This window comes from Homo sapiens, chromosome 6, assembly GCF_000001405.40.
Source record: "Homo sapiens chromosome 6, GRCh38.p14 Primary Assembly".
NCBI lineage: Eukaryota > Metazoa > Chordata > Mammalia > Primates > Hominidae > Homo > Homo sapiens.
Genome location: NC_000006.12, coordinates 28,259,226 through 28,278,899, shown reverse-complemented (window position 1 = coordinate 28,278,899; position 19,674 = coordinate 28,259,226). Strand labels below are relative to the sequence as shown.

General features: G+C 40.1%; 2 protein-coding genes across 14 annotated transcripts, besides 3 other annotated features; both read right to left on the bottom strand.

Moving 5' to 3' along the window:
* Positions 1-695: 695 nt before the first annotated feature.
* Positions 696-11,757, bottom strand: ZSCAN26 (zinc finger and SCAN domain containing 26). 13 transcript variants are annotated; one of them, XM_011514864.2, is made up of 5 exons: positions 11,447-11,757; positions 6,966-7,046; positions 6,561-6,878; positions 6,113-6,230; positions 696-2,705 (listed from the first exon to the last, which is right to left on the bottom strand). In XM_011514864.2, the coding sequence occupies exons 2-5, from the start codon at positions 6,978-6,980 to the stop codon at positions 1,804-1,806; spliced, it is 1,353 nt and encodes a 450-aa protein (XP_011513166.1). In that variant the 5' UTR covers positions 6,981-7,046; positions 11,447-11,757; the 3' UTR covers positions 696-1,803. The 13 variants fall into 13 exon arrangements, with proteins under 13 accessions (XP_011513166.1, XP_047275268.1, XP_024302306.1 ...); XM_047419312.1 differs by having other exon boundaries at positions 6,564-6,878; XM_024446538.2 differs by having other exon boundaries at positions 11,687-11,757.
* Positions 11,151-11,715: an enhancer, noted in NCBI's record as "H3K27ac hESC enhancer chr6:28234963-28235527 (GRCh37/hg19 assembly coordinates)". NCBI's record gives its function as "activates a minimal SCP1, AML or CMV promoter by ChIP-STARR-seq in primed H9 embryonic stem cells {active_cell/tissue: H9 hESC(primed)}" and the evidence as "EXISTENCE:reporter gene assay evidence [ECO:0000049][PMID:30033119]".
* Positions 11,860-11,919: an enhancer, noted in NCBI's record as "active region_24352". NCBI's record gives its function as "activates an Ori minimal core promoter by ATAC-STARR-seq in GM12878 lymphoblastoid cells {active_cell/tissue: GM12878}" and the evidence as "EXISTENCE:reporter gene assay evidence [ECO:0000049][PMID:35858748]".
* Positions 17,942-19,603, bottom strand: NKAPL (NFKB activating protein like). Its single transcript, NM_001007531.3, has one exon. It carries the CDS (start codon positions 19,526-19,528, stop codon positions 18,320-18,322), a length of 1,209 nt encoding a protein of 402 aa, NP_001007532.1. The 5' UTR covers positions 19,529-19,603; the 3' UTR covers positions 17,942-18,319.
* Positions 19,516-19,595: a silencer, noted in NCBI's record as "silent region_17043". NCBI's record gives its function as "represses an Ori minimal core promoter by ATAC-STARR-seq in GM12878 lymphoblastoid cells {active_cell/tissue: GM12878}" and the evidence as "EXISTENCE:reporter gene assay evidence [ECO:0000049][PMID:35858748]".

The following is a 19,674-nucleotide window of genomic DNA, read 5'->3' as shown; positions in this document are numbered from 1 at the left end:
AGGTAAGGCACAGAGGATTTTTAGGGCAGTGAAACTATAATGGTGGACACGATATTATGTATTTGTCCAGACCCATAAAATGAACAATACCAAGAGTGAACCCTAATGTAAACTATGGTCTTTGGGTGATAATATGTCAATGTAGGTTCATCAATTGTAACAAATGTCACCCTGGGAGGGGATGTTGATAATAGGGGAGGCTATACATGAATGGGAGCAGTGGGTATATGAGAAATCTTTGTATCTTCCTCTCAATTTTGCTGAGAACTTAAAACTGCTCTAAAAAATGGTTTATTAAAAAAAGCAAACCATTTTGTACACATCAGATTGTCAAATATTCAAAAGAATAATTCCCAGTTTACGTGGGTATAGAAAATTGGGCATTATCATAGGCTGCTAACAGGGTGTACAAATTAGTGTAACTTTTCTGGAGGGCATTCTGGAAAATGCATCAAAAGCCTTAGAAAATATGCCTACCTTCTGCCTCATTGATTCTCATTATGGGAACTGAACAAAGAAAAAAATTCTGTAAGTAGGCAAAGTTGTATATACAAGGATGTTCACTGAAAAATTGTTTATGGTGATCAAACTGTAAATGACGTAAATGATGAACAATGGGGACATATACCATAGAATACTGCACAGCTTATATGGAAAATTATCTTCCACAAACACTTTAAATAAATCTGCAGGGATTTGTTTGAAACCTTTATTAGAAGGAAACAGTATTCTATGGACTCCCAAGACCAGGATATATATGGATTGCAGAGGCTGAGGGCTGAAGTTGTCACTCTGGTGATATGTTTTGGAGTGGACGCCCCTAATTTTAATATTCTTCATCTGTGACATTCTGCTATTCACAGTATAAAGATCATGATCTCCTCTCCAAGCTGACTTTATTGTTTAACTTCCGAAGTATTCCAGAACAAGCAACATTTCAAAATTGCATCATCAGTATTAAAGGGAAAAAGTCCAATTTCTTTCATCAGACATTTACTGAATAGTGTCTATGCAGCAGCCACTATACTGGCACTGGAGTTATCAAGTCAGACAGTTGCTATTCAGATTAATTCAGCAAGGTTCATTCAAATTACTCATGAAATCTCTTTCAAAGTCTAAGTAAAACGTTAATTTATAACTTGAATCTTGACATAATGTGGTGGGGAATGGGGATGGGAAATGGTAAAATTACATGAAGCTAACCCTGAAGGCAAGTTCTGAAGTTCACCAGCGAAAATTATCTTTGCTTTTGAAAATGCTTCCACTGGGGAAGGAAGGGGTAAGGCCAGTGGGAGGAATGAGGTGAAGCCACTGGGGGAAAATGTTCACCATTAACCTGTACTTTAAAGACACCTTTGAGAGTAGTATACTTCCAAACATCATCAGTTTTATTTCATAGGAGAAAGCTGCTATAGCATATCCAAAAATATCAATCTTCCCTTGTTCTGCTTAAGCCTGCAAATCTGTGGGCACTTGATTCACTGCTGACTTCAAAACTCTTACTCAGTCATGAAGCTCTCTATTGCTTAGAGTATATAATCATGCAGTTATGTTACATGCTCTGAGATGTCCTGCAGTGAAGAATGCTGTTTAACTTTGATCCTAGCATATCATCTACAGTGAAATTATTGTGGTCCAAAGCTGACTTCAAGGAAAGCAAAGGAGAGAGAATAGAGGCAGGGAGCCTCCAACTCAGCCCCCAAGAATTTTCTGATGCCACAGTGGGCTACGGTGACTTTTCCTAAAGTGCTGTTTGCTAGTCAATGTGCCTTCTCTGATGTTCTACAAGGAGAGAACACCTCATCAAGCCAGTTTGTCTTTGTGGTGATATCTCTGATGTTGAAAAAGACCTGACCTTTGCCTGAAGGCTTCTCCACATTCACTACACTGATAGGGTTTTTCTTCATTGTGGATTCTTACATGCTGAGCAAGGTGTGAGTTTAGTCGGAAGGCTTTCTGGCATATGTTACACTTGAAAGGTTTTTCTCCAGTATGAATTCTGTGGTGTCGAATAAGGTCTGAGGTCAAACTGAAAGCTTTTCCACACTCGTTACATTGATGGCTTTTGGAGTGACTATGGATTCTCTGATGGTGGGTGAGGAGTAAGGCCTGACTAAAGGTTTTTCCACACTCCTTGCACTCACAGGGCTCCTCCTGACTGTGAATTCTCTGATGTCGATTAAGGTGAGAGCTGCGCCTAAAATTTTTTCCACAATGGATACATAGATAAGGTTTCTCTCCAGTATGAATTCTGAGATGTTCCAAAAGGCCTGCATTCTGGCTAAAGACTTTGCCACACTCATTGCACTGATAAGGCTTCTCACCAAGATGGATTTTCTGATGTCTGACGAGGTGTGAACTCCTCTGAAAGGCTTTCCCACACTCATGACACTGATGACCTTTCTCTCTAGAGAGGACTTTCTTATGTCCTGTAAGACTGGAACTCTGACACACATCAGACTCGCAGAGTTTCTTTCCCGTGTGTGTACTCGCATGTTCAATCAGGTCCAAGTGCTGGATGAATCTCTGCTCACGTTCTGAGCATTTATACTCAATCTTCTCTTTGGGCTTGGCCTGATGCCTTTCCAAGTTAGAGCCCTCATTATGAGCCTCCATGGGTTCAGATATTTTCCCAGATGACTCTACTCTTCCACAAGAGTCTGTTACTACAATAAGCTTCCCATTCTCAATCCTTGTCTCCTCACCTGCAATATTAAATATATACCACCAATTACTTGTCTTTTGATGCTTGGGGAAAGGAATCTGCAACTAAAAGGAAAAAAAAATATAATGAAGCCATGTGTGCAAAGTAAAAACATTGTGGATGCTTGTGATTGCGTAAAATAGTTACAGAATGGTACACAAGACATTGTTAACTGTGACTGTCTTTGGGGAAAGATGGGGAATTCTGGTGGGAGGTGACTTATTTTAAATAGTTTAAATTTTATCATGGGATACCACACACAGAGAAGCTAGCAAGCAAGCAAATAAACTGTCTTAAAGGGCATGGCTGTACAGTCTTGAAGATAACTTGTCACATGGAAAATAAAAAAAGCTAGGTTAATTGAGGCCCCCAGGGCCCATAAGAAAGGGACGACATTTTAACTGAAAATGAAGAAATGTAGATGTGGTGCCCAATTTTATCACTAACTGTGTAATCTTAAAAAAGTAAGGTAAATCATCTGGGCTCTGTGTCCTCATCCATAAAGAAAGAATAATGTACTATAAGACCTTGACAATAACATGAAGTTCACAAAAATGCCTTCGCCTTTCCTAATCTCCTTGGACAGCAGTAACTGCTCTCCTGTGTGGTTCAACAGAGCTTTAATCTCAACGCTATGATAATTTATTCATGTCTGTCGCTCCCTGCACCCCTGATGCACAATGCCCCAAGAGACTGTAAGCACATGCAGAGCAGACTTTGTTTTCTCTAGCACAGAGCCTGGTACATAACAGACATTAAACAAATGTTTACTAAATAAATGGCCTGTGTCCTAAGGGTGAAATTAAATGAAAATAGAGAAAACTTAAGCTCAGATACACAAGCAGACGGGTGAGAAGAATGTGAAGTTTTTGTTTTGTTTCATTTTATATTTTTATTTACCAGTTTTTCTTGTAGCTAAGGATAACTCTTCAAAGGCTAGGAGCATGACTGGGGATGCAAAGTCAGAATGAGAGAGTAAAAGGAAAGCTGGATGGAGAAAATAGAAGAAAGACTCTAAGCAGCACTAATAACAAACAAAAGAGGGTTAATCAGTGTGAGCAAGTTAATTCAGCAGATAAGTAAAAAGGAAAGAGTGGATGACAGCTGAAAGGAAAAGTGAAAGTGAAGGAATTAGTAAGGAGACATCAGAGAAAGGAAGGTCACAGGTGGGGAGTGAATAAATTAAATAATGTAATAATGTACTGTGTACAAAGACCCTCTACAACAGAATGAAGTATTCAGTCCTACACAGGGGCAGGGGGCAAGAGTGAGAGATTAAGGGAAAGGAATAAGACTCTTCCAGTAATGACATAATCACATATACAACTTTAAAAAAGCAAGAGAGGATGAAACCAAAAAACAACCTGAACTTTGAATATAAAATAACATTTTTAACAGATCCAGAGGGTAAGGGACATTTTCAAGAGTCTACTGACATTACATTCACTTTTTTTGAGACATGGTCTTGCTCTGTTGCCAACGCTGGAGTACAGTGGTGCAATCACATAGCTCACTGCAGTCTTGAACTCCTGGGCTCAAGCAATCCTCTTGCCTCAGCCTCCCAAGTGGCTAGAACTACAGCTGCATGCCACCACGCCTAGCTATTTATTTATTTTTTGTAGAGGACAGGGTTTCACTATGTTGCCCAGGCTGGTCTCAAACATCTGGCTTCAAGCAATCCTCCCACTCTGGCTTCCCAAAGTAGTGGGATTACAGCAGCCACATTTACTTTTTGTATTTAAACTATACACCCATCACTGATTACATGGTAATCATTTCTGCAAGGCTAATTCATTTCTGCAAGGCTATTGAGAAAAGGTAGGCCCCTTTCTTTCAGCTACTTTATTCAGGATGCTCCCAGAAGAAAGGTAATTTGAAGCTGACTTGGAAATTGAACAGAGGAATAGGTAGCATGTAAAGCATGATTTTACATATAAAACCAGTCATTCATCAAACAGACATTTATTGAGGGTCTACACTAGGCCAGGGACTGTAGCTGACTCAGAAAACAAAACAAAACCCCTTCCCTTTTAGTCTGGCAAGAGAAAAAGAGAAGCAAACTAGAAACTGCAATATAATGTAATTAGTTCTATGACAGAAAAAAAAAAGAAGAAATGAAAAAATGTAAGGAGCAAAAATTAGGAAGAAGAATTTCAGTGACAAAGAAAATAAAGGAGGCTGGGCGAGTGGCTTGCACCTATAATGCCAGCACTGTGAGAGGCCCAAATGGGAGAAATGCTTAAGACCAGGAGTTCGAGACCAGCCAGGGCAACAGAGGGAGACCCTGTCTCTACAAATAATAATAATAAAAAGCCAGGTGTGGTGGCACACACACCGGTAGTCCCAGATACTTGGGAGGCTGAGGTGGGAGGATCACTTGAGCCTGGAAGGTCAAGGCTGTAGTGAGCTATGACTGCACCATTGTACTCCAGCCTGAAGACAGAGCAAGACCCTGTCTCAATAGAAAAACAACAAAAAAGAAAGTATAGAACCAAAAAAAAAAAAAAATCCAGGTGACGTTTAGAAATGAAAGATAGTGGCCATTTACAATAATTTGAAGGAAATGTTAAAAAATGAGTAATGAAGCATGTGGCTTTCTTTGCCTTGATTAAGAAACTAGCAGTACTTGTTTTTTTTTTTGTTTGTTTGTTTTTTGAGACAGAGTCTTGCTGTGTCGCCCAGGCTGAAGTGTAGTGGCGTGATCTCAGCTCACTGCAATCTCAGCCTCCTGGATTCAAGCAGTTCTCTGCCTCAGCCTCCCGAGTAGCTGGGATTACAGGCACCCGCCACCAAACCTGGCTAATTTTTGTATTTTTAGTAGAGACAGTGTTTCACCATCTTGGCCAGGCTGGTCTTGAACTCCTGACCTCGTATACCTACCCACCTTGGCCCCCCAAAGTGTTGGGTTTACAGGCATGAGCCACCATGCCTGGCCACTATTTGCTTTTTTAAGAGATGTTGCCCAGACTGAAGTGCAGTGCAACAATCATTGCTCACTGCAGCCTTGAACTGGGCTCAAGTGATCCTTCTCCCTTAGCTTCCCAAGTAGCTGGCCTGGCACTGCTTTTTTTATTCACCCCTACAGTAAGAGGAAGAAGAGCAAGGTGAAGGTCCAGGTTCCCTTTGTACCCTTTTCTTGCTATTTTGTTCAGCTAAAATATTTGGGGTGATAGATATCTCTTATCTCTTGATAGTGGTCCTGATTAGACCACAATTATTTCGCATTTGTGAAAACTCATTGACCTGTACATCTAAAAAGAGTGAATTTTACTACATATAAATTATGCTTCAGTAAACCTGACTCAAAACAAAAGCAAAAAACAAAATACAAGGGTGCTAAGCACAACCTCAGAGGGAAAGGCACAGTCCACCACGTCTCACACACAGAAGATGCAATCCAATTCTTACCCTTCTCTTTCTCAGGCTTTGTAACTTCACACTCATGCCGAACCTGCTGTTCCTGTACTCCTTTCAGAGGGGCCATCTCCTCCACAAGTATTTTTTGTTTCTTTGGCTGGTCTGGGTCCTAGGGACAATTAGGTATATGGAGGCATAATTAGATATATGTGGGTTTAGGAAACTGCTGTTCAGTAAAACACCTAGGTGTTAAAAAAGAGAAGAAAGAGAAACCCCAGAGGGGCAAAGAAAAGAAGATGGGGAATCTGGTGCACATTCAGTTTTCTCCAAGCAAGGGCCAGGTAAGGTTGAGGTAAGACCTAAGGAAATTAACAGCTAGACTGGAAAAAAACTGAATCAAAGCTTAGTAATTCTCCTTCCGCTGATGAGCCCATGTCCACCTGTCTGGCCAGAGATCTCAATTCCTGCATTCCTGAAAAAGAGCACATCTGACCCTTACCACCTGTTGTCCTGTTTCTCCAAGATCCAGCTGCAAATCCTCCAGAACAACAACCACGTCCTCCCTGCTCTCTGGGTGATGCTCCTGCACCCGGGCCTGGAGCTCCTTAGGCAGGATGATCAGAAACTGCTCCAGCACCAGCAGCTCCAGGATCTGCTCCTTGGTATGGGTCTCGGGCTGTAGCCACTGTTGACAGAGCTCCCGGAGCCGACTTAGTGCTTCTCGAGGTCCTGTGGTCTCTTCATAACGCAACTGCCTGAATTGTTTGCACAATGGCTCCTGTCCAAGGCCTTTACTGTTTCCTTGCAGCTTGAATCCCTGTTCCCAAGTAGAGTAGTGATCCTCCCTCACTACCCGAAGCCCCTCCTTCTTCAGATTCAGGGGAGCCAGGGAATGGGCACTCACCAATGCTGTTGCCATCCCCAGCTTCAGACTGTTCTCCTTGTTTTGGAGAACTTTCTTTGGACTGTATCTTCAGAGACACTCCTAAAATTATAGTAACAAGAGTGACAGAAACAGTAATAGTACTGCTAACAAGAACAGTAACATTTTCTTGGGTTTATACATTTCCTATTATCCATTTTTTCTCTCTAAAACAACCATTTCTAAACATACATACAGAAGGAAAAAACTATCTTACAGAATACCATCTAATGTAGAAGGAATAATAGATTTGAAAAATCACCATTTTGTAGCCCTCAAAATAACTGAGGCTAGGCACTGTGGCTTACACTTGTCATCTCAGCACTTTGGGAGGCTGAGGTGGGAAGACTGCTTAAGCCCAGGAGTTTGAGTCCAGCCTGGGCAACATAGTGACACCAGGCATGGTGGCACATGCCTGTAATCCAAGCTACTCGGGAGGCTGAGGAGGGAGAACTGCTTGAGCCCAGGAGTCTGAGTTCAGCCTGGGCAACCAGAGCAAGACCTATATCAAAAAAGGAAGAAAAGAGAGAAAAAGAATGAAAGAAAGAAAGAAAAAGAAAAGAAAAAAGACAAGTGAAAGACAAGGAAATAGAGAAAGTTTTTTCAGACAAAAAAGACACCATAAAGCTGTTGGATGTTCAGTGTAGTAGTTAGTTATGGCTGGGAAAACGTTATATGGAGCCGGAATCCTGGGAAACATCTACATGTAAGAAACAGAAGTGAGATGGAACTGGAAAGGTAGGAGGAGAAAAAAGACAATAGTATCCAGAAGGTCAAGGAGGTCTATTTCTGTAAATGTGGAATGGTGGAAAGACCCTGGGCCTTAGACAGGCCTGGGTTCCAATCCAGCCCTGTCACTTACATGTTGTGACCTGGGGCAAGTAACTTATCCTTTTGGACTTAGTTTACTCATTTGTAAAATGAAGATAATACCTAATTCACAGAAGTTTTGAGGTAAATGAGATAATTCTAAAGAACAGAAGGAATTCACTGATTTATAAGGGAAATGATATGAGCACAGTGTTCAAGAGTGTGAAATGCTATAAGATGGTGAATTAATCTAAGACCTGGCATAGACACTTGATTCAAAAACAAAGATGTCATTAGTGACCTCTGTGAAGGTAATTTTGGTAGTGAGAATAGCTAGCCTGCCATAGGAAATGAGAAAATGGAGAGTGAGCATAAATGACAAATTTCAAAAAAGTAATACATTGAATGGAACAAGAAAGATAGGGCAGAAACTAGAAAGGGCTAATGTAGAGTATAAGTATTTTTGTGACTTCAATTACTGTCCTTATGCTGATGATTTCCTTATTCTTCAGGTCAGATATCTCAAGTGTCAGACCTGAATTTCCTTCTGCCTATTTGGGACCAGGATACCCTACAGAAGCCTCTCAAATCCAACATGTCAAAAATGAACTCAGACAATTCCCTACCATCCTTTGGGGCAGGCCCTTGGTATGTGGGGATTTAGCATTCTTGATTTTGACTATGCTTGAGTATCCCTATAGATCAGTGAAACACCATCTGTCAGCTGCTGACACATGCCTTTGAATCAATGTGCATGCGGTAAGTGGGAGAACGGGAGAAGGCTCACTTAATCAGTGGCTTAGCCTCCAAACAGTTTGCTGTTATATATTCCTGAATGTGTATATAGTTAACATTTCCCAGCTGATAATTATTTTTCTTAGTCAAAATGAACTTAAACTTTAAAAAGCCAATTCCTAGTATTCTTAATATAAGTAAAAAAGTCCAAGAAAGTGATGATTATCAGTGAAACCCCGTGTCTACTAAAAATACAAAAAATGAGCCGGGTGTGGTGGCACACGCCTGTAGTCCTAGCTACTCGGGAGGCTAAGGCAGGAGAATCACTTGAACCCAGGAGGTGGAGGTTGCAGTGAGCTGAGATCACACCACTGCACTCCAGCCTGGGCGACAGAGTGAGACTCTGTCTCAAAAAAAGTGATGATTATTAGCCAGAAAATAAAAGATTGGTATTGTAATGGTTAATTTTATGTGTCAACTTAACTGGCCACAGGGTGCTCAGATATTTGGTCAAACATTATTCTGGATGTTTCTGTGAGGGTGTTTTTGGAATGAGATTAACATTTAAATTGGTAGACTGTTGACTAAAACAGACTGCCCTCCATAATGTTGGTGGGCCTCATCCAAGCAGTTAAAAGTCTGACTAGAACAAAAAGGCTGACTCATCCCTGAGTAAGAGAATTCTTCCTGTCTAAAATGCTTCAAACTGAATCATCAGCTTTTTTCTTGCCATCAGACTTGGAACTAAAACAGCTCTTACTGAATCTCAAGCCTATGGCCTTCAGACAGGAACTACACCATCAGCTCTCCTGGTTCTCAGGCCTTTGGGCTTGAGCTGGAACTAAACCATTTGCTCTCCTGGGTCTCCAGCCTGAAAACTCACTCTGAAGATACTGAGACTTGCCAGCCTCCATAATGACCTATGCTAATTCCCTATAGTAAATCTCTTTCTAGATCTCTACCTATCTTTACCGATATAGATACCCTAGTTATACAAATAATGACACAAATACAGGCATATGTATATATATACATAATTCGTATTATTGTTTAGGTATATATACCTGTATTCGTATTTTTTATATATACCTGTATTCATATTATTATATCTATAGAGATATCTATACCCATATCAGTATATATCTATGCCACATACATATATATATACTGGTATCTATATCAGTATTGGTATATAAATAAACATGTGGTATGATGTTGATATGTATATATAGGGTATGATGTGTTTTTTTTTTTTCTTTGAAATGGAGTCTGCCTCTGTTGCCCAGGCTGGAGTACAGCAGCGCAATCTTGGCTTACTGCAACCTCCGCCTCCCGGGTTCAAGTGATTCTCCTCCCTCAGCCTCCCGAATAGCTGGGATTACAAATGCCTGCCATGACACCCAGCTAATTTTTGTAATTTTAGCAGAGACAGTGTTTCACCATGTTGGCCAAGCTGGTCTCGAATTCCTGACCTCAAGTGATCCACCGTCCTCAGCCTCCCGAAGTGCTGGGATTACAGGCATGAGCCACCGTGCCTGGCTGGGTATGAGGCTGAATTAGTGGTGAGTTCATTTCTATAATGTGATTAAATATATCAAACACAATATATAATAAATAATTTGATAAACTGTTTTGGGAGGAGCTCCATCTACCCAGCTATTTGAGCCAGAAAACTGACCATTCCTTCCTCCTTTCATATCTCATGTATCTGATCAATCAAGTTCTATTGATTCTATTGCTTAAATATCTCTCAAATCAATCCACTTCTCATCCCCTTTGCCATTGTCTTCTCCTACCTAGACCACTGTGACAAACAGACTGGTCTGAGACACCAATCTATTTTCCACACGCAAACAGTGATCATTCTAAGGAGGATATGAAATATTATTATGTCCCTGCTATGCCTGTTACATATAATGGCTGATTATTACCCTTAGGATCAAGTTCAAAACATTTAATATGGTTTACATTGTTTTTTGATCTAATAAAGTACTTTATTTCATCAAATTTGCAATACTCCTTCTTGCTCCTTGGCCCTTCCACAGCTTATTCCTTCTGCTTGGACCACCCTCCAACCCTCCAATTTTCTTCTTGTTAATGCCCACTCACACTTCATGTCTCAGCATAATAAAACAATGAGCCAGGACAACTATACTACATGTTTCACATATATTAATTATTTAACCCTCACACAACCCTATAAAGAAGACACTATTCCTAATTTCTTCGTGCAGAGAAGGAAATTGAGACGGGGAGAGTTGAAGAACTTACACGAGGTACCAAAGCTAAACCTCAGATCTTTTCTCCAGTATCTCTTGCACCCACAGGCCCAAAACCTTGGATTTATATTTGCCTTCTTACTGTCACACCCTACATCTGACCCAGTAGCAAATATTATTGTCTCTATTTTCAAAGCAGATCATAATCTGATCACTGGCTCAAGATATCCTTATCTCCCACCTGAATTACTTGGAATTTTAAAAAATTACTCTTAACTTTTAAGTTTTCTTGATTCCATTCTTGCCCACTTACAATCTATTATCATCATGAGTCTCCAAGTAAAGAAGCTTTAAAACATAAGTCAGATCATGTTTTCTTCTGCTCAAAATCCTCCAAAAACACACACCAAAAAAAGACAAAATTCCTTACACGATACAGTTCTCATTTCCTCTACACTCTTCCTCTCCATACCCCAATCTCTCTGACATCATTCCCTACAAAGGTCGCCTTTGTTCACTGCTCCAACCGCTCTGGTCTCCCCGTTATTCCTCAAATATGCCAAGCAAGCTCCTGCTTTAAGACCTTTGCACTTGCTATTCCCTCTACCTAGAAAGTTCCTGACCGCAAAAGCCACTTAGGTCTTTCCACCCACCTCCTTCAGATTTCTGCTCAAATATTACCTTCTCGGTGGCGCCTACCTTTAATATCTACTTAAAATTGCGCTGAATGGATGAAAAATATGCAGCAGAAGGTTGTACTCTGTTTACCAGATCCACAGCTTCATCACTCTCATAGGCCCCAGGGCCGACACCTCCGCTACGGACCCCGCCCCCTCGGTCGAGGGAAGATTCTCTGCACCCGCCGGGAAGCAGCTGCTCCCTAGGCCCCTAGGCCGCAGTTCCGCCCCAGCCCGGGGCCCAGCTCCAGGGTCCGCTCACCTGGTCAAGGGGCCTCAGAGGACCCAAACGCTCTGAAACAGCGTCTTAGCTCATCGCCGAGTGTCAGCTCTAGCTCTTCGGAGCGCTTTCTTCTCCGCTCTAGGAACGCTGGAGGACCTTGGCTCGATGGTGCTGCCGCTTAGGCATCGCAGAAGGAGACTAACATGGGTGCTGCCTGCTGAGGACGGCTGGGAGGGTCATTTCGTTGTGAGCTAAGATTGTTGGGGTTTTTTTTTTGTTTCTGTTTTTGTTTTTGTTTTCTCATTTTAAAGTGGATGTTTATTTTATTCATGTAAAAACAGGCCAGCTCCGTTGAGTGTTATCACAAACAGCCAACATTTTCACTTTGCTCACATAAATAAAACACACATACTTCGCCATTTTTCGCAATTTAGAAATTCATCAAACACAATGGCAAAAATAATTGTCAAAGTATTTCGAAAATTAAACTAAACAATGGACATACGTTTGGATTGAAAGGTTTAAGGTAAGAAGAAATTAGGGCTATTACTGTGAGAGAAAATAAATCAACAACACTTTGCAATCAATGTAAGTTTCAGGGGGAATAAAAGCAACAGATATCACTTTATCAAAATAAATTCTACAACAGAGAACAGAAATAGTCTCTCTTGCCCACAGTATCACAAACTGGGTTTTTATAGTTTTTGAATAAGATAAACTCTTTGAATGCTTATACATTGCTAGTGGGAATGTAAATTAGTTCTGCCACTGTGGAAAGCAATTTGGAAATTTCTTAAGGAACTTAAAACAGAGCTCTCATTTGACCCAGCAATTCCATTATTGGGTATATACCCAGAGGAATATACTGTTCTACCATAAAGACCATGCATGTGTATGTTCATCACAGCACTTTTCACAATAGCAGAAACATGGAATCAACCTAGATGCCCATCAGTGGTGGACTGGAAAAAGAAAATGTGGTACATAACACCATGGAATATCATGCAGCTAAAAGAATGAGATCATGTCCTTTGCAGCAACATGGATGCAGCTGGAGGCCATTTATCCTAAGCCAATTAACACAGGAACAGAAAACCAAATACTGCATGTTCTTACTTATAAGTGGGTGCTAAACATTCAGTAAACATGAACACAAATGGGAACAACAGACACAAGGACTTCTTGAGGGTGGAGGGTGAGAGGAAGGTGAAGATTGAAAAGTTACCTATAAGGTACTATGCTACCACTTTGGTGACAAAATCATTTGTACACCAAACCCCAGCAGTATGCACTTTATTCATGTAACATACCTGCACATGTACCCACTGAACCTAAAACAAAAGTTGGAAGAAAGAAAAAAAAACCTTTAAAAAATCTGAACAAACTTTTGTGTTTAACTGATCAGTTGACAGAAGCTTTGAAATATCATTAAATATACAAAACATTGTACTGACGTGTAATTTATTCAGTGTTTCAAGCATTGAAATTATCATAACAGAAAAAAAACAACCAGTTTCATTATCACAAGCAGTTATCTTTTCTTCTTAAGTGTCTGAATGTATCTTTGAAAGCATATTTTTAAAGTAAAAATTAAATATGTTTACTTTAAAACTTTTCATAAGGCCAACAAATCTAGTCAATATGTGTTACTAATTAGAAGTCAATATTCTTTCTTGAGAGGAAAACTCATATATCTTATTTTTTAATATCTAGAAAAGGACCTTTTCAAAAATTATATAAGGGATAAACATAAAGAAAATTTAATTTAAATAGAAAGTAAATACTATATCCTATTTACTCCCCCTCTAAAATTCCCTACTATGACTAGTTTCTTAAATCTGTCACTTTTATTGTCAAGGCTGAGATTATTGCCATTGCACTGGATATCCCATGAAAATCAAAACCTTTAAAGTAGCTAGACAAAGAAGAGTTTTTTTAAATTTTCAAGGTGTGCATTTTTCATTTAAACAGTCTGTTTGTACCTTTTGGGAGGGGTAGGGGTAGATAAGGTGAGAATAACTCAAAACACTGTTATCACCAGGAGAGACAAAATACTAAAATACAAATCAATTTTCAAACTTGAGGTTTTCATTTTCCAGGATTATCCTTATTTTTGTAAACTATAGTGATCATGTTTCTGCCAGGTCCATTCATACGATATTCAAGATAAGAACTTTCTTTTCCATATTATCAGTAGAGATGCTATCGCATTATGAGTCATGTCACCATGCTCCAGCATAAGATTTACAGTTCTTATCTTCTGGTAATGATGCTTCCTGCTCTTCTCTCTGCTTCTTATACGTATACAGCAAGGTCTCATTCATTACTCTGAGTTTTAAAATAAGTTATTTGTCCAGTGATCGTTCTAAACAATCAAAGCCTACAAATGAATCTAACAAATTTATAGCTTAATATTAGGAACCTATAACTTTAAGTCACCCATATTAGGCTGATAAAGAAAAATCATATAATCTCCACAAATGCTACAATGTCATTTCATAAAACTCAACATATATTTCTGACTAAAAGCAGAAACTCCTAATAAAAAATAAATAGATGGATGATTCCTTTATAAGGCAAAAATAAATACATCTCAAATATACCAAAAACCTCCCTTATATTTGATGGTGAAATCTTAGACATATCCCCCATAAATTCAGATTAAAGTCTAGCTGAATTCGTTAGGCTAAGAATAAAAAGAGCAATTTTGCTAAATGTATGATTTCTTACTCCCTAAATTGCTGGTGGCTAAGGTTAAGAAACACCTTCCCTTGTGCTACAGAACTTTAAAACAAACAAACATGAAATACACATTAGACCCCTTATGCCAGTGGGAGATTTTTATATTTTGTGAAACACTACTTTTGATAATTCCACAAAGTCATATAATGATGGTCTGTGAGAACATTAATGCTATTTCATAAAATGTATCAATTGTAAATCAGCACAGCCTCACTAGTTTGCTTTCTTAGGCTGTTTCTCAGCACTGAATAAAACTCAGTGTAACTCTAGTGGCTAAGACAAGTTATTTGATCTGTTCAACTTCCTGCTTGAGCAGAGTGAAATAATAAAGTGATTCTGATGGTTTCTTGAAATGTAAACGTAATACAAAATTTTCGTTATACTGTTTTTCTTCTATTTCACAATCCATAGCTACATACTCTGGGCAAAACTACTTCAAAGGAAAAGTTGTAACCCTTTTTATTAGCTCCCCTGAGACAACAGTGATCTGCAGTCATATTCCAACTCTTGAAATCTCTTTTAAGGCAGATTTATTGGCCAAGTCCCTCTCTAATAGCAACATTAAATGGCAAGTTAAGCATAACTACAGCAAAAAAGCTATCATGAGTATTCCACTGTAGGCATTAGACATACTATTTGTTGCATGGTGTGTATTTTATCTTTCTGGGAAAGAAGCTCACCGATCTTACCTTGGCTTACTTAGAAGTCAGTTTCTCAGCTGCATCTTCTTCCAAGCGAGAAAGATAAAGATATTTGTTTGGCCACTGTTAGAAAACCTTTTTAGGCTTTAACGGGCATTACAGTCAAGTGTCTCTCAGAAAAACAAGTCAAAGGTAAATAACACGGAGATATATTTGCAAGATATTTGATAAAGATCTAATTTATTAAAGAGTTTTTATGACCAGTTAAGAAAAAAGACCAACAACGCTATAGAAGAGTGGACAAAGGTTATCAGAGGAGCAGTTCACATACACACAAAAGAATTTCAAAAGACTCGTAAATACATCTATGAAAGGATGCTCTATCTTACTTTTAATAATAAATACAAATAAAATGCCATTTTCACCTTAGATTGGGAAAGATCAAAAGGTTTGAAAATACAATATTGGTGATGATGTTGGTGAGTGTGTAAACATAGAAGGTGGTGTTGCAATATCTACTAAAATTTAAAAGCACACACAGCTTAAATCTGGCATTCTTAGTCTTTCCTTGACCACTATATCAAAAAAGTTCCCCCCAATTCTGTCTCTAGCCCGTTACTTTTTTCACATCATACTGTAATTTGTAATTTTTGCCTGTTGGCTTTTATAAGTCTGTCTCCCCCAGTAAAATGTAAAATTCTATGATGGCAAGGAGCAAGTCTAACTTGTTTCTTGGTTTATCCTCAGTACCAGCCATAGTGCCTAATACATAGAAAGCACCTGATATTTTCCCTTTGTTTCAATAATTCTATTTTGAGGTTAGCATTTCTAGATGACCAAAAGGATTCTTTTTGACCTAATATTCATCTATTTTTAGTTGAATATGCTACAAATATACTGTCACATATCCACAGAGGCTTTCAATATAGTACTCTGTGACAGTAAAATACAGAAAAACATCTTAACCATCCAACAAAATACGGTGCTTTCATATAATGGAATACTACAAGATTATCTAAAAGAAAGAAAGATTCATATGTATTGATATAAAACATCTCCAGGATGTATTAATTGAAAAGAGCAAGGTGTCAATCCATGTGTATCATGTGGTATAGTTTGTTCTAAAAATGGAAATACGCACATGTAACAGCATGTCTATCACCAATATGCCACAACACCCTTTGGCGAAAATCTCAAGGTGGTGTGGTCCAGTATCAGCCATGTCACATCCTGTGGAAGGGTAAATGTGCCCTTCCACATCACACTGCCCTGCCAGATTCTAGAACCCCATTTCCTCACCTTCAGTTCTGTGGGGGCTAATCAGTCTTTTGAACTTTGAAAAGGGGGTTATCCAAATGAGATAGTTTGGCTAGTGTTGAATTAAAGTCTCAGGGGCCAGGCACATATCACTGAATGACAACAAAGGCCTTTTAATAGACCATGAATGGAGCTCACTCTGAAGTTTTCCCAAGACTGGTGCCAGCCAGTCTCTCGTTGCTAATTCTCCTGTCCTTGTGGTCCCTCCTGATCTGGTCTCCTCCTCATGAGTTCTGCCAACTACCTTATTCTTCTTCTAGTTCTTTCTCTCTTGTTAGTTCCAACTGCATCATTTTGTAAGTCTCCCACCATTTCTCAGACCTTGATCAAAGTGAATCATTCCACGGGGGTTCGGGCTGTGAGAAACAGCCTGCCTTTTATCATATTCTGCTGGGAAAAAGTGCAAGGAACATCACATTCTGTGGGAACAAGAGCCAAACTGCCTCATCGTGGGAACACCTTACCAACACATAGCAGTACATAGCAGCAAGCCATACTGCCCAGACCCCTCCCACCTAGGCCTATAAGTACCCCAGCCTGTAAGCGGTGGTGGGCACTGGCATTAGGCTGGTTCCCCACCTCTGTAGGTGTTATGCTGGACATAAAGCCTGCATTTCCTGTTGAACTGCCCTCTGTGTGTATGTCTTTCTTTAACCCTTGTCTTCCCTTCACAACCTAACATCTGTGTGTGTGTGTGTGTGTGTGTGTGTGTGTGTGTGTGTGTGTGTGTGAGACTAGGTCTCGCTGTTATTCAGGCTGCTCTTGAACTCCTAGCCGTAAGCAATTCTCCCACCTCAGTCTCCGAAAGTGCTGGGATTACAGGCAAGCCATCATGCCTGGGCCTTCTTCTTTATACCTTATCATTTTTTCTTTCTCTTGCTAGTCTAGGTGGCCCTAATCTACTCAAGCACTCTGATCTCCATCTTTTATATCTCTTTTTATGAATAAACCCTATATCCTCTTAAATTAGAATCTGACTTCTAATAGTCGAAGCCAAGTTTTTCTTCAAGAAAATGTTCACTTTTAGCACATGTACTTTCATTATACGTTTTTTAAAAAAGCATTCGAAACTGTAGTACGCGTCTATGGTTGTCTATCCCCCTTGCCCAAAATTACCCTGATTTTCATTCAAGAATCCATTCCTCTATAACTGGTCTATGACTCCACAGATAAGCCATTCTATTTCCTAAGCAACAACACTTGTTTTGAGTGGGCATGTGACCCAAGCTTATCCCATTATGGTGAATCTCTGGATTCTTGTTTGGATTAGCAACTAAGAAATGTTCTCTCTTCAGAGATGGACCAGAAAAAAGATAACCAAAATCAGGAGCTTTGGCAGCCTTTTTGTTATATAAGGGAAACCAGCCCAAGGAAAATGACCCTTGGAAAAAAAGTGGAGAAGAAAGCCAATGTCCAATTAAAGCCATGCAGAAAATCCATCCTTCTTCTAGACTTTTCATTTGTAAGAGCCACTAAATCTTTTCTATTTTCTAAGCCAGTCTATTAACTGAAAGTAGAAGTATACACTTGATTGAATCCTTTGTTCTTTCTGGGCTTCTTTTGGTCCCCCCGGGGCAAATGAATGGCAAAAGAGTAACGAGCGAAAAAAAACTTTAATAGCTTTTAATCTTTATGCTGCAACATATACTCTTGTATATGCACAGAATGTATATTCTGTATATAAGACACCAAAATATATATTTTTGGGGGAAAGGTGTCAGGGGCTAAAGTGAAAGATTCACTTTTTACTAACTCTCCTCCTATAATGGTTGAATATTTTTAAAACCATGTGCACATATTACTTTTTAAAGTTAAAATAACAAAAAATAAGCTGCTAAAGATATCTCAAAAGAAGCTTTTTCCTGAGGGACTTACTAATATGGTAAGTACAGTAGCACTGTAAAGCCTTTTAACACTTTTGGTCACATAAAATTTTTGTTGTTAAAATTCCTGCTGTGCAACAAGTAAGTCCTTACTTGTCATCTTTCTCTTTTGTCTTTTTGTGCACCATCTCTCGGAAACTGGCTAAAATCTTACTTTCTCTCTTTCGTCTCTCTTCTTGGTTAAAGGATGCAAGAGCTCTCTTCTCATCAGCACTGTAGATCTGGTTCTCCTTACGCAGTCGTACAGCCTCCATTCTGCGATGCCTGCTACCACTCATGACATAACCTGAGCATTCAAAAGAACCGATCTCTTCACTTGTCAACCCAATTTCACCTCTTCGTGGGATTCGCTTTCCAGCTTTTACATACTCAGCCATAGCTGCACCTTCACCGGGAAGCAAAGCATGGCCATACTTCAAAGGTTTTTCATCTTGAGAGGTATGTATTATAGGTGCTTCTGGCCCTATTAAATCCATAGTATCTGCCACATTTGGCTGCTCCATCCAGGTAGCTTCTGACAAGTCCTCTTCTGAGTCTTTACAGCTTGAGTCACTGGATTCTTTTTTGGTTTTCTTATTCTTCTTTTTCTTTGTTTTGTGTTTCTTTTTCTTCTTTTTCTTCTTGGCTTTAACTCTCTTTTTATCATCATCAGAGTCAGAATTTGTGTCAGACTCTGAGTTACTGTCACTATCAGAATATTTCCTATGCTTTCTTTTAGACGACTTATTCTTTCTTTTTTTCTTGTTTCTTGAACGACTGGTCTTCTTTTTCCTATGTTCTTCCGAGTTGGAATCTGAACTGCTGCTTTTCTGATGCGTTACCTCTTCTTCATCCTCAACTGGGGTATGTTCGTCAGAATCTAGCTGAGGGAACTTTGGAGACGGCCCCCACACTTCAGGCGCTCCCAATTCCCCAATCCTCTCTCTCTCCTTCAGCCTCCTCTGCCGATGGCTCTCTTCCTTCTCGTAGTCTTCCGCTGACTGCCGTTCTTCTGCATAGCAGTGACGATGGTAGCGATATCCACTATACGAGGTCGACCAGGAGGACGCGAAGGCGTAGTTGCGGAATCTTGGGAGCCGCCCTCGCGACCCAGAGCGACTAAAGGGGTAAAGAGCGCCCACGTCCAACTCACTCCAAGGAGGCCTGAGGCCCTCACGGCCGCGGGAGTGAGAGCGGGAACAGCCATCCCAAGAGGAACATCTGCTCTGCGGGGATGGTGGGCTCCCCGAGGAGCTGCGTCGCCTTCTCCGAGAGCCCACGATGTCCTCGGAATAGCTGGACCGGGATACTGGGGGCATGAGCCGCGCCTCAACGCTGGGCGGTTGCTACAGACCCAGAGGCTGGCTGGTGATTCGCGGCCACGCAGGCGCACTAGAATCGGCCTCCCACGCACGGCTTCCGCTTCCTGTCAGTTACCAAACGGAAAACGAATCCGCGCGTGTGC

What these genes read in the sequence shown, in the direction of transcription:
- ZSCAN26 (XM_011514862.3), bottom strand. Translation starts at nt 6,980, where the DNA reads ATGGCAACAGCATTGGTGAGTGCCCATTCCCTGGCTCCCCTGAATCTG. An exon ending in GAGAAACAGGACAACAGGTG is followed by an intron (nt 6,231 to 6,560) that starts GTAAGGGTCAGA and finishes AATTGTCCCTAG; the next exon opens with GACCCAGACCAGCCAAAGAA. An exon ending in AAAGCCTGAGAAAGAGAAGG is followed by an intron (nt 2,706 to 6,112) that starts GTAAGAATTGGA and finishes TTAATATTGCAG; the next exon opens with GTGAGGAGACAAGGATTGAG.
- NKAPL (NM_001007531.3), bottom strand. Translation starts at nt 19,528, where the DNA reads ATGCCCCCAGTATCCCGGTCCAGCTATTCCGAGGACATCGTGGGCTCT.